Here is a 17,379-nt window from a genome sequence, read left to right as displayed (position 1 = left end):
TACATAAATTTGGAGTAGATTCAGAATGGTCAGGAAATGCGATAGTGACTGGATTTTCCATATTACAAAGTCCATCACACACTTCTATACTGAAACAAAGAAAAAAGGTGATACCTGAAAATGTTTCCTTTGCTCCTAGTAAAGCAAAGTTTCTAAAACCTTAGTGAAAATTTAAGTAATGGTTAACCTATATAAGAACGTACATAGAAAGCATGTAATTCTAAAAGAAAAATAATTCAAGAGAAAGTCAAGACACTGTATATTTTCTTTTTATTGTATTTATTATTATTATTTTTTTTTTTTTTTTTGAGATGGAGTTTCTCGCTCTTGTCACCCAGGCTGGAGTGCAATGGCATGGTCTCGGCTCACCGCAACCTCCACCTCCCGTGTTCAAGCAATTCTCCTGCCTCAGTCTCCCAAGTAGCTGGGATTACAGGTGCGTGCCATCACACCCAGCTAATTTTTGTATTTTTTTAGTAAAGACAGGGTTTCACCATGTTGGCCAGGCTGGTCTCAAACTCCTGACCTCAGGTGATCCACCCACCTCGGCCTCCCAAAGTGCTGGGATTACAGGTGTGACCCACAGTGCCCGGCTGATACTGTATATTTTCATAAAACAAGATGTGGTATAGCTGCTAGGGTGGCTACTGACCCATTTGTTATCAAAACTGAACACTGCAGCCAGCCACTGTGGCTCATGCCTGTAATCCCAGCACTTTGGGAGGCCAAGGCGGGTGGATCACCTGAGGTCAGGAGTTTGTGACAAGCCTGACTAACATGGTGAAACCCCATCTCTACTAAATACAAAAAAATTAGCCGGGCGTGGTGGTGCATGCCTGTAATCCCAGCTACTCGGGAGGCTGAGGCAGGAGAATTGCTTGAACCCGGGAGGTGGAGGTTGCGGTGAGCCGAGATTGTGCCATTGCACTTCAGCCTGGGCAACAAGAGTGGAATTCTGTCTCAAAAAACAACAACAAAAAAACCCTGAACACTGCTAGAAGAGTCAAATGCACTTTTCTTTGTAGAATGTGAAATTAACAAGGGAGCCCCATCAATCCACGGAAGCTTGGGAAAGTCTCCCAAGCTGAAGACATCCAGAGAAAGGACACATACTACAGAAGTGTTCAACTCCAAGGAGAAAACATCCAAGAAACAGAAGCATACAGAAAAGCATTACAGCGACCAAGGACTAAACCTTGTGACAACGCAGCAAGCTTTGTGATTAAGCCAGAAATGCTCTTTTATTCTGCAAACTATAGGATACAAGGGGCAAGAATAAGAACCTTGCCTGTATACAAATAATGTAATGCAAAGTTGTCTAGTCTTCATTTCAGAAGCAAAAAAATTAATAGCTTTAATGACTCGAGTCCTCCTTACCGGATTGTACGGGTCTGAAGGGATCACTTAAACTTTTCCATTAAATTTGACTGCATTTTATGGAGGTGGTTATATCCTAGATTCACAAAGGTTTCAGGAAATACCACTTGCAAATATCAAAGGTCTACTAAGTCTTCACTTGGAACTGTATATTATACGTGGTACTTCCACATAGGATGAGTGATTTAAAATTAAGCTCTATTCATGGTAATGCAAAGATACTTTTCTGACTGAGCCAATGTAAAGAGCATTTTTACATTCTAAGTGCCTAGAAAATAAAAATTCTAGTACTGTTTCCACTTCTCTTAAAACCATGAGTCCCAATATAGAAATAGCCTTTTTGCAAGCAAAATGATTTACACTAGAAAACTAATTTCAATTTTTGTACAACAATTAGTGTTATTCCAGTCACAATACAGACTGAGGTACTGTTACCTAAATATTTTTACATGTTCATTAAGTTATTCTAACTTTTAAATATAGGTCTCTATTAATGACATAAAATTAGTGTAATAATATTTTCTTATGTAGCATTATAAGAATGATAAGAAAAACTAAAGGGGCATTCACTTCAGGAAAATGTGGAAATAACTTGGGTCCCTTACAGAATTGTAAGGTATGTCTTCAGTACTTGTTACTAACAATACTTACACACTATTTTTTTTTTTTTTTTTTTTTTTTGAGACAGGGACTCACTCTGTTGCCCAGGCCGAAGCACAGTGCTGCAATCATAGCTCAATGCAGTATTGAACTCCTGGGCTCAAGGAATCCTCCTGCCTTAGCCACCTTAGTAGTAGTACAAGCACATGCCATCATATCGGGCTAATTTTTTAACTTTTTTGTAGAGTGCCGTCTCGTTATGTTACCCAGGCTGCTCTCAAACTTCTAGGCTCAAGTGATCCTCTCGTTTCAGCCTCCCAAAATACTGTGATTACAGGCATGAGCCACTGCACCCAGCCCACATTTTTTAATGACTCACTTTCTCCAATAAATCAGAGTAGATTCAAGTTTATACCCATAATGATGTCACTCTCAATCATCTGCATTCTAATATGCTTTCTTGAATAGGAGAGAGACTGAATTAGAGCTCGCATGCTAGAAAACTGCACAGTGGAATATGTCATACATGTAAATATCTTGTACCTGGACGGGAAAAAATATAAGAAAACTGACTTGGATCACAAAAATCTGTTTTACTGCTGGATGAGACCATATGGACTCTAGTTCAACTGCTAAGTCAGTTCAGTGCTTGCTTCTCTACACAGAATAACCATAGGCTGGTCTGCCCATTTAAACTGTATGTTCTTTAAGAATTAGAACCCTGTATTTACAGAACACACAATCTGAAACAGGGATATCTGTAAAATACTGCTCCTTAAAAAATAATCATACGTTTCAGTAGGAGGTGGAAAAGACACAACTAATATACAAATAAGGGTATTATTAAATTTAAAAATGAAGTTTAAATTTTAAACAGATTGAGAAAATGTGTTTGCGGGGGCACTAGTTAGAGATTTAAGACAGTAACGTGTAGCTAATACCTGTGGTTTAAATGAAAGGAATTTAGGGCAACCATCCAAAAACACATGATCATCTAGGCAAAAAGAAAAATAAATCAGGAATCCAGACAAACTGGAGATATTTTGGAGTTAAAAATCATTTAAAGTAAATTTATAATTATCCCTGCTGAGATACAATAAGCTAAGATTTATAAAAAGAACAGCTAATCTGAGATATTTCTAACTATTTATTTGTATAAATGCAAATGTCATTCAACTTAAGTAAATTTATTGTAAATTTAAATTTAAGTAAATTTAATTATATTTTAATTTCTTATGTCTGAAACAAGGACTTTGTGGATGGTATAATAAACACATTAATACAAGGAGAGATAAAATCAATGTTATCACATAAAGAACTGAATACAGAAGCTGAATACTTCCTAAAGTCAGTTTAATACTTCCTAAATCTTACCTACATTGTCTCATTTCTTCTATGTAACAAGCTAGTGAAGCAATTTTACTATCCCTATTGAATAGATGAGAAAATTATGACTTAAAGAGATAAAATAACTTGTCCAAGATCCCACAGAACAGAAACTGGAACTAAAACCCGATTATCTGACTCTAAAATAAATGGCTCCTCTTTTCACTACACTTTGAAACCTAGCAAGGAAAACCTACATAAAATGTCCAGTCTTTTAATACCTACTAAAAAAAGTGACAATATCAAGTTTATAATGAATGGTGATGATGAATAAAAATTAGTAATTGTCTGATATGAATATTTTTAAAATAATTCCAAACATGCATGACATTAAATTTTTAAAGCTGAATTATGTAATATCCTCCAAAAATGAAGAAATCTGAACTATTTCTTGAAAAGAACCAAGAAAACTTTGTTTTACCTAGATACTTTGAATTCCAAAGAAAAAATATGGCCTCATATTTTGTCAGCCATACAGCAGTTTTATATGGTAAACTAAAATATTTATACTTACAGAATAAGAAACAGTAACTGCTTGGGTCTAATTCCTCTGTTCTGACTCTAATCTGTCCTCTATTTATTCTTTTCCATTTTTCCCCCAGATCTAGGAGCCCTCTTCTAATTTAAGGTAACAGCCTCAAGTTCAGGAACTCTTACAAATTTTGATGTGAATGCAGATACACTGAAATGAAAACCATAAAATCTCAATAATTGGTAGAGTGTTACAGAAGAAATCAAAGTTTGTTAGTTTTCAAATCATTATGGTAGAATGATGAGTGACTTCATTTTCTTCTCTATAGTTTTCTGAATTGATTGTAAGGCATTTAACATTTATAATCAAACAAAAATAAGAAAGAAAAGGAGTAAAAAAAGGGAAGGAGGAAGGGAGGGAAGGGAAAATTGGAGCCTTGATTTTAAAAAATCCAATTGTTTCTGAGTTCACTGAATCTACAACTAAAGTTCTAAAACTGTGACCTAATTGTTTCCTTCAGTCTCTCAATAGCATGATAGGTTAACCATACATAAGCATACCAAAGACAAATGAAATTTGGAAAAATAGTAATAAAGCAATCCAGAGATCTATAAATTCTGAGACATAGCCCTTAATATTTAAGAAATTACTATATGAACGAGGTAAGTATGAAAAACAGATTTAGGGTATGCAAAAACTAAAAAGCAAGATTCAAATACTTAAAAAGGTGTACACAAATTTCTCGGGTATAGAAAAATTACAAATATACAAATGTGTGAATTTATACCCATTTCCACTTATTCCTTTACTATAAATTGAAGTTTTATATCAAAATATTCCTCAGAACCATGAGACAACACCCAAGATCGTTGAGTCCTATCGAAATACTGACTTAAATTTCTCTAATTACGTCAGTCTCCATGAAGCAGTTCTACTAAAAAAAGTTCACCTTTGTAAGCTTTTTCCATTACAAAAATACATTCTTATTCCAAATGAACAGACATAAGATTGACCCAATTTATCAAGTTACCAAAATTTTACATAATTGATAGTCCCTTGGACTTCCCTCCAAAAGATGTTTATTTATAAATCAAGTACAAAACTATAATCTATTTACACAGGAGTCCAATTTTGAAGCAAAACGTTTTTTTGTATAACAAGTTCATCAGATTTCCTTTTGTCTGATTACCAAAATGCAGTTTACTTATTTGGGCCTTGATTACAAAGATGATGACTTCCTACCTCACTCACAAGATTGCTTTGAATAGTCTCATGTAATTAAGTTAGTATAGTTTTAGTAAGTACAATTCCCACTCACAAACAAAAATAAGCACCTTATAATTTGGTGGTGTGTATATACATGTATACTACATATACATGTATATACATATGCTGGGCTTTTTGTGGTTTTTTTGTTTGTTTGTTTTTTGTTTTTCTGAGATGGAGTTTCGGTCTTGTTACCTAGGCTGGAGTGCAATGGTGTGATCTCCACTCACCACAACCTCCGCCTCACGGGTTCAAGCGGTTCTCCTGCCTCAGCCTCCCGAGTAGCTGGGATTACAGGCATGCACCACCATGCCCGGCTAATTTTGTATTTTTATTAGAGACCATGTTTCTCCATTTTGGTCAGGCTGGTCTCGAACTCCCGACCTCAGGTGATCCGCCCGCCTCGGCCTCCCAAAGTGCTGGGATTACAGGCATGAGCCACCGCGCCCGGCCACATACGCTGGTTTTTTAAGCTTGATCATTTCAGTTCCTCTATTCCTTAATGTTTACTGTGTAACAGTGGTCTTGAAATCGTTATTGCTAAATATATAGGTGGTGGGTTCAACTCGACTCTTCTGCATTGTTTGAAATTTTTCATAGTAAAATAGTTGAGAAAAAACTGGCAAATTTGAAATGTTCACGGTCCAGAGTTACAGTAACATCTACATCGAAGATGAAATGTAAATGATTTGTCTACCAAAGCTTGAATTATTTCTTCTGAACTAAAGACATCAACCTTTGAAGCAGTGCAGAAGCTGCAACAACTTGACACTACATAGTTTTAGATTATGTATATTTAATGCTGTCAACAATCAATGCAGAAGAGAAACAGATCTTCACTAAAGGTCTTTCAAAGATGAAAACAGAAGTATGCCTATGTACTCTCTTAATATATTCCCAGCATCTTTGGAAGCATAATTCTCTTGGCTCAAAAGTACTAGCAGAAAAGCTTTCCTGGACTACAAAAAGATACACTCTGCTTTCCCGACTGACAAACCTGGAGCTACTCACAAATGTCTTCTTAAGGGCAACACAGGTATATATACCAGGACTACAAATACTGCACTAAAGATTTTGCAATAGTTTTTTTTTTTTATCCTATTCTCATTCCACATATGAATTGAAAAGTATTTTCTAATCTTTAATCACTAAAATAGTTTTGATCTATTCTCTTATTGATGTTCCACTACACTTTTATATATGGTAACCTCATCTGAGAAATTTATTATCTTAACATATCTGGAGAAAAGGAAAATGGAGTACACCTTTACAGCAGTTTATGTCAAAGTGATAGTGAGACAACCATTAATATACGCAACTTCTGAATTAAAAAGGTTAAAAAGCTGCTCTTTTTTTAACCATAAGGCGAAGGAAAAAAATGTAAGGCTACCAGCCGTAACAAATTATTAGATTTTGAATTGCACTACAGTGGATGGCAAAATCGCAAACGTACAAAGTGCCCACCTCATAGTACAATCCTCAATTTGTTTAAGAAGTACCTTGCCCCTACCAACACAACCCAATGAGCGTATTCAGAAAGTAGATCCTAGGGGTAACTGTAAGGCAGAAGGATGACCCCTGAAGGTGCCTCCAAACATCTCCCCAATTCTAACTGGCAAAGAGACCACAGAGCAGAAATTACCGACGACACCACTAGCTTCACACTTAAGATCTATCTCTTGATTAGACTCTTGGAGGACACCTCTGGCCAAGACCGGAGGAGAAAGATGAGGTGGGGGATAAAAGCGGGAGAAGGTGACAGATAGGAGGAGAGCTGGGGAGGACCGAGCGGGTCAAGGGAGACTGCGGGGCTCCAGAAGCAGGAAGGGATGGGGGGAATACCAGGGGTTGAGAATGCCCCCGTAGCGGGACGGCGGCGCCCAGATGAGTGCCGCCGAGAAAAGGGGTGAGGGTACAGGCAAGATTGGGTGGTGCCCACAGTCCCCCCACCACCCCGCCTCACGCCCATCAGCCCCCAGACCCCGCGACGGGGCGGAGCCACTACGCCCGCCACAGCCCTTTCGCGCCGGCACCCGCCCCCTCAGCCTTCGGGTCCCGGGATGGTGGGAGGGGCGGCCCTCGTGGGGCTGGGTGTGTAGCCCGGCCCAAGCCCCAACCAGGAATGCTCTGCTGCGGGCGGGAGGATGAGCGGATGACCCTGCAGCCAGGGACGGGGGTTGGGGGGGGCGCTGGCTGAGGGCGGAGGAAGAGCCTCGGCACAGCCCCCAACGCCCTGGCCGAATCCCGGGCGCCCCTCTGCGGGCAGGCATTGTTGCCCCCGCTCTAGGCTTGCCTTCCCTCCTCTTCCCCCCTCCCCCCGCGTTGCCCCGGGCAACAGCGCCTACCGCCGGCGGCGCGAAACGCACCTACCTAGAACCTGACAAGCCCGAACCCCTCAGACTCCGGAGCCAGTCACCACCCCGCGTCACGGGGGCTGCCACAGCCAATAGGCGCCACTGTCACGAACCTCTGCAACCAATCCCGCTGCACTCCGGTCTCCGGGCACCCTCGAGGCCTCAGCCAATGGGCAAGAGCGGAAGGCGGGCGCAGCCGCCCGGCCCTCAGCCCCCTCCTCCACTACCTCCCAGGAGGCGGGGAGCGGCCGATTGGCCCGGTCCCCGAAGGGGCAGGACTTGGGCCCTAGGCTGGGTGGGCGCACGCTTAGCCCAAGCTGCGGGCCCTGGGAGTGGAGACGCGGAGCTGCGGTCGCCGCTTTCTGGGCTCGCTCACCAGCCCGGGTGGAGTCCCGAGGTCTGCGCGTTTGTGCCGCTCTCCCCGCCTCGGTAACCTGCTCCTCCCTAGCGGGTGTCCTGGGCTGCCGTGGTGAGATGGGGCCGGAGACGGACGAAGGCCTCACAGGAAACTTTGGGAGGCTCGCCTGGCCGCGGCCGGGAAGTGGCCGGACCGGCGATGATAAGCTGAGGCCGCCTGGAAGGGACTACTCGGCGGGTCGGCAGCCGGAAAGGAATTCGGAGAGTGGGGGCGGAGGCGTGATTAAAATGTTAAGTGTGCCCGGAGGGCGCTGGGCGATCCCTGGAGCTGAAATCTCCGGGAAGGGAAGCTGCTTTAGGGCCGCGAGGCCCCCACCCCTAAAATAGGCACTTTTCAGCCTCAGAATTGGTCACTTTTTCCTGTACGTTCCCACGTTTTACTTGTATCTGTTATTAACGTGGATTGCTTTAGAATGGTTTTCAGCAACTCCAGTTTACTCTGAGTCCCTTAAGGACGGGAACTGTCTTTCAATCCTGTACTCCCAGTGCCTGAGCCTGCCTAAAAATGTTAGAAACTCAATGCTGGAATTGTAATGGATGTTTAAAAGCATACAGCAGGTCCTGGGAGTGGCCCCCTATAATAAATTCTTACCTCTTCGGGAGTCTAGAATGCGTGGAGAACCCAAACGGGTCTGCTCTTCAGTGATGGCCGTTTCTGAAGCGTCCTTCACCAAAAGAATTTGGTGAAAAATGAGTAATGTGAACTACAAGATTATTACTAGGTGATCAGTAACAGTAGGATAGGTATGCGTCATTATTCGAGGGTGTGACCCTCCCATGTTCCTGTAGTAGACTTTTTAAGGCGGTGTTATCTTTTGCATTGGTTGAACCACATAGCGTCAATCCGGTATTTCCCCTCCCTCTCAAAAACTGAGTTACATAGGAGCCAAAGAAGAGTGGTGAATATTTTCTCTAAGCAGGGTTATTTATTTAACCGTAGAGAACAGCCCTACACATAAAAAAACATAAATCTTAAGTTGGACTTTTTTTAAGTCTACTGTTTTAAAGCTAAATAAACAAAAACCAACATAAAAATTTTAAATAAGAGGCTTAATTCTCCCTATTGAAAATGGAGGATGAGATTTCCCGTCCCTTTCTCTCCGAGCATTTGTCTTAGAAAACTTAAGTACTTTCTTAATTGTTAAGTACTTTCTCAACTCTTTGAAATGTGTATAAATCCACTTGAGGACTAGATAGGTCTTGTCAACTGTATGCTCAGTCAGGAATGTCTCTGGACCTTTTTTTTTTTTTTTTTTTTGAAATGCTGCACATATCAACGGAGTAGCATCCTTCCCTATCTCCCAGTTTCTGTGAGAGAGTAGGAGCGTAACTTCGGTGAGCAACTTGCTCCGTGTTGCAAAACTACCTTCCGTCATAAAGACAGGAGAAGTTTGTTTTTCCTCTGGATAAAACCAATTAACTAACACAGATGGTCACCCCAATTATTAAGTAAAGTTAATGTCACAAATGTCAGGTCCTCTTACTTGAGGACTAGTTATTGTTCAACTTGAAAACGTGTATGTAATGGGTCGTATATACTTGGCTATACAAAAGGGCAAGATTTCTGTCTTTGCAATCTCTTAGCAAATTGCCTGTGATGTGTATCACAGTCTCGTTTAATGCTTATTCAGTAATAAAAGTGTTTTGTCTACTAACGTTTGTGGAGAGGATTTCTGGGTTGGGAGATTTTGGTTTTTAATTATATTTTTCCAACAATGCCTATACCCAGAATGTTGGGATGACAAAGTTAAGGAAAGTAGTTACTTCGGAGTTTTTAAATTGTTCTCTAAAATGATGGTTAATGTTTCATATGTATTTCATAGTGATTGTTAAATGCACAAACTGTGGTTCTGTGAGTAAACTTCTTAAAATAGAAGTTAATTTTCTGTGAACATCAAATGTTATAGTATATGTAATGTCAATAAGAATGAAATGAATGAAAATTTGGTTAGGTAAGGCCAAAATACAACTTTGGAGACTGCTTCATGACTGAATACCTTTCCCAAGAACCTTAGAATTTCTCCATTTATACAAAGGGAATCAAAATGTAGAAAGATGTGGTTGGTGAATACGTTATTACATATTTGCAGAAAGTAGCTTTCAATAAAGATATGGTAGAAATAGAGCTGTTTGATACACAACATGTGTGTTTGTGTTAAGGAACCCAAATCTAGAAAAATCAGCAAGAATCTTTCCATATCTACAATTGTTCTCTGAGTTCTCACCTATTCATTCCAAAACCTTAAAAGCTGTCTACCATATGCCAGTCATTGTGCTAGGAAATGCAGTTGTGAAAGAATATACTTGAAGTAAATGAATGTGGCAAAAATCTATGCTGCATTTTTGAAGCATACAAAAATATATAGCAAATCCAGTTTCACATTTTTTTCCTCTGTTGGAATTATCACATTGCATTGCAACACATTTAATAAACACTGTGTGTCACCTTAGTATATATTCCATGTTCTCAAATACCAAACTTTGTCTGTTCTAATAGCATTACTTACTGGACAATGAAAATAATAATGTGGACATCAAACCTAGGTGGGTAATAAAAAATGATTGAAAAGTTTTTTACTTTTTTTGATTAGCACCATCCATGCCTCACCCCATCTCTCCACCTCCCTTTTTTCCTGTTTAAAAGTATAGACTGCAAGAGGAATCTTGGTTGTGTGCCATCTTAGTTCAGTAGTTCCAATACTTACCCCTCCCTCCTTTTCTTCATCTGTGTCTCTTTTCTGCCAACTCCTTTGATTTGTGACTCTCTGCTTTCTAATCCACAATTCATACCTATCCACAATTCATAACTAACCATACACACATACTGCTCCTAAAATAGAGATCATGATGAGGTATGCAATATGGAAACCATATCTATCCTTATTCTATACATGCTGCAGTGTTTGTTTTCAGTGGATATATATTTTTTTCTTTTTGAAAATTGTTCTCTTGAATGAATACTGTTCCTAGAGGTCACATTTGTGTGAAATTTTCTTTAGGACTGTTTTGGCTTTCCAAATTTCAAATTTTCAAAATGGCTTAATCATTTCCTTTATTTTTTGAATCTGTGTTAGGAAAATAGCAGAGTAGTTGGAGGGGGAGGGAAGAAAAGAAAATGAAGTAGACTTGAAGGAAGAAAACATCCATTCTGTCTTCAAACTAGATGTCAAATGTATTAACACCATCTCCCAACCATCTTTCCCAGCCAGCGGGTGGCCATCCTAGTACTCTAATTAATATTGGTTCTCCTGCTTCCCTGACCTGCTCTCCATTAAGAAATCCACCAACATTCGTAATCAAGACATGCCTTCTCCAAAATGCCCCTGGATCACTAAAGGCCTGTCCCTTTTTAAGCCATCCTTTTCTCAGATTTTTTTTTTCATTTCTTTTTTAAAACAGAGTCTCACTGTTACCCAGGCTGGAGTGCAGTGGTGTGATCTCAGCTCACTGCAACCTCCGCCTTCCAGGTTCAGGCTGTTCTCCTGCCTCGGCCTCCAGGGATTACAGGCATGTGCCACCACGCTCAGCTAATTTTTGTATTTTTATTAGAGACAAAGTTTCACCAAGTTGGCCAGGCTGGTTTCGAACTCCTGACTTCAAGTGATCCACCTCTCTCGGGCTCCCAAAGTTCTGGGATTACAGGCATAAGCCACCGTGCCCGGCCTTTTCTCAGAATTGACCTGTCCTTTTCCTCATCCCCTTATCCCTGGTTCATTATGGCTTCAGAGTTAACTGAAAAATGTGTGTGCCTGTGTAACAGTGCTGTAATAATGAATTTATATGTGTGATATTATCAGAATCACCTGAGGATCTTTTCAAAAATAGACTCCCAGATTAACTCCCAAAGATTCTCACTTGGAAAGGCAAAAAAGTTCAGGAAAGTCTGTATGTTTGGCATGAGACCAGTGAATTATTCAACATGGTGTGTTGAACTCAGGCATTTATCTCTGCTCTGTCCTGAAAATCCTTGATATAACATAAACACAGGTCCAGGTGCCTCAGCCTCCTGAACAGCTGGGATTACAGGCATGTGCCACCACACTCAGCTAATTTTTGTATTTTTATTAGAAACGGGGTTTCACCAAGTTGGCCAGGCTAGTTTCAAACTCCTGACCTCAAGTGATCCACCTCTCTTGGCCTCCCAAAGTGCCTAGGTCCAGGCCTAGGGATCTCTGAGGGGGCATGGTTGAGAAAAGAGGCTGTAAACAACAGGATTGCTTGACAGTCTGTAAAAGGAGTAGGGAGACCCTACTTGCCCCATCAAGATCACTTCCCCCACCAAGCAGCTAGGTTAAAACACTACTCTACCACAATCCAGAGACAACAAGGTTTACTCCTTGGAGTCATTAGAGAAGCTCAGATCTTGAAGATACAGAGACAGCTGAATATTACCTAGGAGAAAAGTGCCTACTGCACATTGGGGTAAAGGGAATACATGAAAGTCTACATACTAAACTGTGAGACTTATCCTCCAAGCTCCCATAATGACTGTATTCAGGTTCCTGTCCCTCAGAGAAGACCTTAGAGGATTCCTTTTTAGGGAAATTGACTTGCCTGAGGAAAAGTATTTTTATAACTAGTGAGTACTGAGGGTGTGGGGGCGGGGGGATTTTCCAAAATGTACAGATTCCCTGCCTAATCACGTCAAAAATAAGGTCTGCCAATCCTTAAAGAAATGAAAACAGGAGGCTATTTTTCTAAAGAAAAATTCAGAGAGAGAAACGAACTTTGAAAAGTTAAAAAACAAATTAAAATTCAATAGCAGATGATAAAATGAAATTGAGAAGTCTCAAAATAAAAACAAAAAGACAAGCAGTTGAAAAATATGAGGAAAAAAATGTAGGATCAATTCAGGAGATCAAACATCTAATCTATAGAAAGAAAAAAGGAGACGGGGAGAGGGGGCAAAATTAGCAAAGAAAGACATTTCCCCAGTACTGAAGGACCTGAGTTTCCAGATTGAAAAGGATCTGATGAATGGCTTGCAAAATAATGAAAAAGACTCACACAAAAGCACTTAATCCTAAAATGTCAGAACAGCTGAGATTTTTTAAATTCCCTAAATGCTTCAGATAAAATAACAGAATGCAGACAAAAGAACAGACATGAGAACAGAGAAAGGCATTGGACTTCTTAACAATGATACTGAAAACTAGAAGAAAATTGAGCAATATCCTAAATTCCAAGGAGAGATCATTTACAATCCAGAATTCCCAATAAAACCAACAATCAATGAAGTCTAATTGTAGAATAAAAGTATTTTCAGACATGCAAGATCTCAAAAAGTTTTATTTCTATGAAATCTTTTCTCATGAAGGTACTTAAGGGTGTTTTCCACCAAAAAGAGGGCTTAAAATAAGAGAGATTGTGGCAGGACAGGTCTGACTAGCATAGGCCTCTATAACAACTGTTTCAGTACTGACTGAGTGGTTAAGTTAAATATTAAAAGCCAGTGCCCTTATACAAAGGCTGAAATGTAAGAAAAGCCCACCAAGAGTTTTGCCTAGGCCTTTCCTGGGCCTTAGAACATGACAAAAATAACAAAATTCTTAACAGGACCCATTTAGGATTAAATAAGTTTTATTGGAGATCTGAAGAAACTCCCCAGGCTTCCACAAACAAGTTTATTGGGGGTCTGAAGGAACTCCCCAAACCTCCATGATTTAGCAGGAGACAAGATAAGGGTAGTCACCCCAGTACCTGGACCCATTTACATTAAGAAAATTTACTGAGGCTCCAGAGAAAGGTCATCAGGACTCAGACCTTAGTTATAGATTAAAAGAAGTTAATCACTGATGTCTTTAGATGAATGCACACTTACACGTAGACATATAGCTTAGAAGGTATATAAGCTCAGGAAAACTTTGTAATTTTAAGTTGGTCTGGCGATAACTTCCAGGCCTTCTCCCTGTAACCAAATGCAGAAATAAAACCTCTCTTCCTCCCCGTTCATTTGCATCTCATTATTGGGCCACAAGAAATAGCAGCCCGACCCTCAGCTTGGTCCAGGAAGAAGAGGAAGACATGGAGTCAACATTGGAGAAAGGAAAGAGGAATATCCAGGATGATATCAAAAGAAATTTCTAGGATAATAGTTGTATCACAGGCCTAAAAGGCAGCCAGTGTAGATTGAAGCAAGAGAATGGATATCTCTGGAACTGATGTCTCCAGGAGAAAAAACAGTGGGGTCAATAGAGTTTCTGATGTATTTCATCACATGAAGAGATGTAGTCCCATTCTGACCAAATTTATAGATGACTTATGGGTAGGCATAAAAGAGATGAAACAAATGGAAAATAGAGCAATTATTAACCACAGGAGGAAAAAATTATTTTAAAAACAAACTTTATATTTATAAATGTAATCATAGTATTTCATGTAGCTTAGTATTAAAACTTATTGCATAATTATCTTAATCTAAGCACAAAAATTGATTAACTAAAAAATTATAATACTGTCTTTTCTATAATATTATAGGACAAGGATAAGGGAAACTGAGTGGAAGTAATGTGAGGTAGCTAAGTCCTCTTCTTCCATAGTAGGAAGTCAGCAGATAATTTCCAATATTGAAAAACCAAGAAAGAGTATTGTGAGCATGCTTCATGGTAGAAAGGGTAAACACCAGTGTTAAGAGTAGAGTTCAACTATCAGATGGTGATGGGGACTGAAGAGTACAGTGATTAGGGCTGGGAGCTGCTTTTTAGTGTTATAAATGAAGATGTCATTTCACTTGTATTGCTTTGATAAAAACAGACTTTAAAAAAAAATCTGTAGATGAGTCTGTTGCACGGCCAGGTTTGAAAGCTACTGAGAGGAAAAATAGAGCAAGGAACATCTGTCCCCATCACTGCAGATAGAATACACATTAAAAAGGATATGCCTCTTCTATGTAAGTGACATTCTAGAGGGAAAAAAAAGGGCCAGGCATGGTGGCTTACGCCCGTAATCCCAACACTCTGGGAGGCCGAGGTGAGCAGATCACTTGAGACCAGGAATTGGAGACCAGCCTGGCCAACATGGTGAAATCTTATCTCTGCTAAAAATACAAAAATGAGCTGGGCATGGTGGCAGGCACCTATAATCCCAGCTAGGGTAGCTGAGGAGGAGAATTGCTTGAACCTGGGAGGTGGAGGTTGCAGTGAGCCAAGATTGCACCATTGCACTCCAGCCTGGGTGACAAAGTGAGACTGTCTCTAATAAAATAAAAATAAGATAAAAAGAAAAAAAAAGGATATGTCAATAATAATAATGTTTTATCTTTGCTTTCTAACTTAGTTCTTTACTCAATGAATATTTCTTGAGCACTTATTTACCAAAAGCACTGTTGAGAGGCTCTGAGGATATAACAGAGAGCTGCTGCAGGGATAGGGTTCCTTCCCTGAAGTCAAATGGGACATACAGACAATCGACAAGAAAAAGGATTAACAGACAACCTACAGATTGTGATAAATGCTAGGAAGGAAGTAATAGAATGACATGAGAGAGAATAAAAAGGACTAGAAAGAAGGAAACAACTAAGCTACAAGTCTTAGAATCATAGTTATATAGTGGGAACTTAAGCAAATCACTTAGCCTTTCTGAGCTTCAATTTTTGCATTATTAATTGTGGGTAATAATTCCAACCTCACTGGTTCTTATGAGGATTTGTTAAGATGGAGTAAACCAGGCAGGGCGTGGTGGCTTACACCTGTAATCCCAGCGCTTTGGGAGACTGAGGTGGATGGATCACGAGGTCAGGAGATGGAGACCATCCTGGCTAACATGGTGAAATCCTGTCTCTACTAAAATACAAAAAATTAGCCAGGCATGGTGGCGTGGGCCTTTTGTCCCAGCTACTTCAGAGGCTGAGGCATGGGAATCACTTGAACCCAGGAGGCGGAGGCAGAGGTTGCAGTGAGCCAAGATCGTGCTACTGCACTACAGCCTGGCTACAGAGCAAGACTCCATTTAAAAAAAAAAAAAAAAGATGTACTAAACGAAAGAAACTGAAAGAATTTTCAATGGATAGATTCCTTTTCAGATATAAGGTATTTATCCTTAGGGAGCCATTGTCACCTCTTAATTGGTTTCCCTGCCTGCCACCCTAGGGCTCTGTGGTGCACATTGTCAACAGTCAGGTCACCTAACCATTATTTTCATTTTGACATTCTGATCTTCAAATGCTTTGGCTTAGAAGTATGTCTAGTTTCTTAACCTTGGCTTCAGGGACTTTTACAAACCTACAAGCAATTTATCCCGACTTATCTCCCACCACGCAGTTACCTCTCCCTCTTCCTCTCCAGCAATAGAATACTTTATGCCTCCACATTTATTTATTTTCTAATTTGCATACAGTAAAATTCACTGTTTTTGGTGTACAGTTCTATGAATTTTGACCAATGCATAGCTGTGTAACTATCACCACGATCAAAAAGCAGAACAGTTCCAACTCCCCTCCCCACAAAATTCCCTCATGCTATTCGTTCATAGTCAACCCTATCCCCACACAACCCCTGACAACCAGTGATCTGTTCTTCATCACTATTGTTTTGCCTTTTCAAAATGTCATATAAATTGAATTGTACAGTATACAGCCTTTTAAGCCTGGCTTCTTTCACTTACCATAACGTATTTGAGATTTGTCTGTTATCGTATTTGTCATTTTTTTCATTTCATCGAAGTGTAGTGTTTCATTGTTTGTTTATCCATATCTCAGTTGAGGGACATTTGGTGTTTTCCAGGTTTGGGCAATTATGAATAAAGTTGCTATAAACATTCACACACAAGTTTTATTGTATGAACACAAATTTTCAGTTCACTTGGCCAAATACTTAGGAGTGAAATTGCCAAACCCATGGTAAGTGCATATTCAGTTTTATAACTAGTAAACTTTTCTCAAGTGGCTGCACCACTTTACATTTCCACCAGTAACATATGACAGTTCCAGTTGCTCCTCTGTCTCATCAGCCCTTGGTGGTGTTGGGGTGGTACTGGAGTTTGTTTGTTTTGCCATTCATATTGGTGTGTAGTGGTATCTTGTAGGGTTTTAATTTACATTTCCCTAACGACTAATACTGTTAAGAATCTTTGCATGTGTTTACCTGCCGTCCATGTACAGTCATCCCTCTGTATATTCCAGAGATTGATTCCAGGCTCCCCACATTTATCAGAATCTGTGCATACTCAAGTCACTCAGTTGGCGCTGAGAAATCTGCTATATGAAATCGGCCCTCTGTATACTTGAGGTATGCATCTGCAAATACTGTATTTTCAGTTCACCTTTGTTTTATTTATTTATTTGCTTGTTTTTTGAGAGGGAGTCTCACTCTGTCACCCAGGCTGGAGTGCAGTGGCGCAATCTCAGCTCACTGCCAACCTCTACCTCCTGGGTGCAAGTACTTCTCTTGCCTCAGCGTCCGGAGTAGCTGGAATTACAGGCACCCGCCACCACGCCCGCCTAATGTTTATATTTTTAATAAAGACAGGGTTTCACCATGTGGACCAGGTTGGTCTTGAACTCCTGACCTC

General features: G+C 40.1%; 1 protein-coding gene across 19 annotated transcripts in view, besides 3 other annotated features; it reads right to left on the bottom strand.

Moving 5' to 3' along the window:
* FER (FER tyrosine kinase) overlaps window positions 1-8,568 on the bottom strand; it is a 448,945-nt gene extending 440,377 nt beyond the window's left edge. For 14 of the 19 annotated variants that reach the window (NR_146155.2, XR_007058589.1, XR_007058591.1 and 11 more), the window contains exon 1: window positions 7,472-7,517. The gene's annotated coding sequence lies outside the window, so the exon portion shown is untranslated. Of the gene's footprint in view, window positions 1-7,471; window positions 7,518-8,464 lie in introns of those variants that run through there. The other 5 variants (NM_005246.4, XM_011543269.3, XM_017009231.3 and 2 more) reach the window with 1 other exon arrangement.
* Window positions 7,022-7,431: a silencer, noted in NCBI's record as "silent region_16223". NCBI's record gives its function as "represses an Ori minimal core promoter by ATAC-STARR-seq in GM12878 lymphoblastoid cells {active_cell/tissue: GM12878}" and the evidence as "EXISTENCE:reporter gene assay evidence [ECO:0000049][PMID:35858748]".
* Window positions 7,562-7,621: a silencer, noted in NCBI's record as "silent region_16222". NCBI's record gives its function as "represses an Ori minimal core promoter by ATAC-STARR-seq in GM12878 lymphoblastoid cells {active_cell/tissue: GM12878}" and the evidence as "EXISTENCE:reporter gene assay evidence [ECO:0000049][PMID:35858748]".
* Window positions 7,702-7,801: a silencer, noted in NCBI's record as "silent region_16221". NCBI's record gives its function as "represses an Ori minimal core promoter by ATAC-STARR-seq in GM12878 lymphoblastoid cells {active_cell/tissue: GM12878}" and the evidence as "EXISTENCE:reporter gene assay evidence [ECO:0000049][PMID:35858748]".

The sequence above is a fragment of the Homo sapiens genome, chromosome 5 (assembly GCF_000001405.40).
Source record: "Homo sapiens chromosome 5, GRCh38.p14 Primary Assembly".
NCBI lineage: Eukaryota > Metazoa > Chordata > Mammalia > Primates > Hominidae > Homo > Homo sapiens.
The sequence above is the reverse complement of the archived record's forward strand: the minus strand, read 5'-3'. Positions and strand labels throughout refer to the sequence as shown.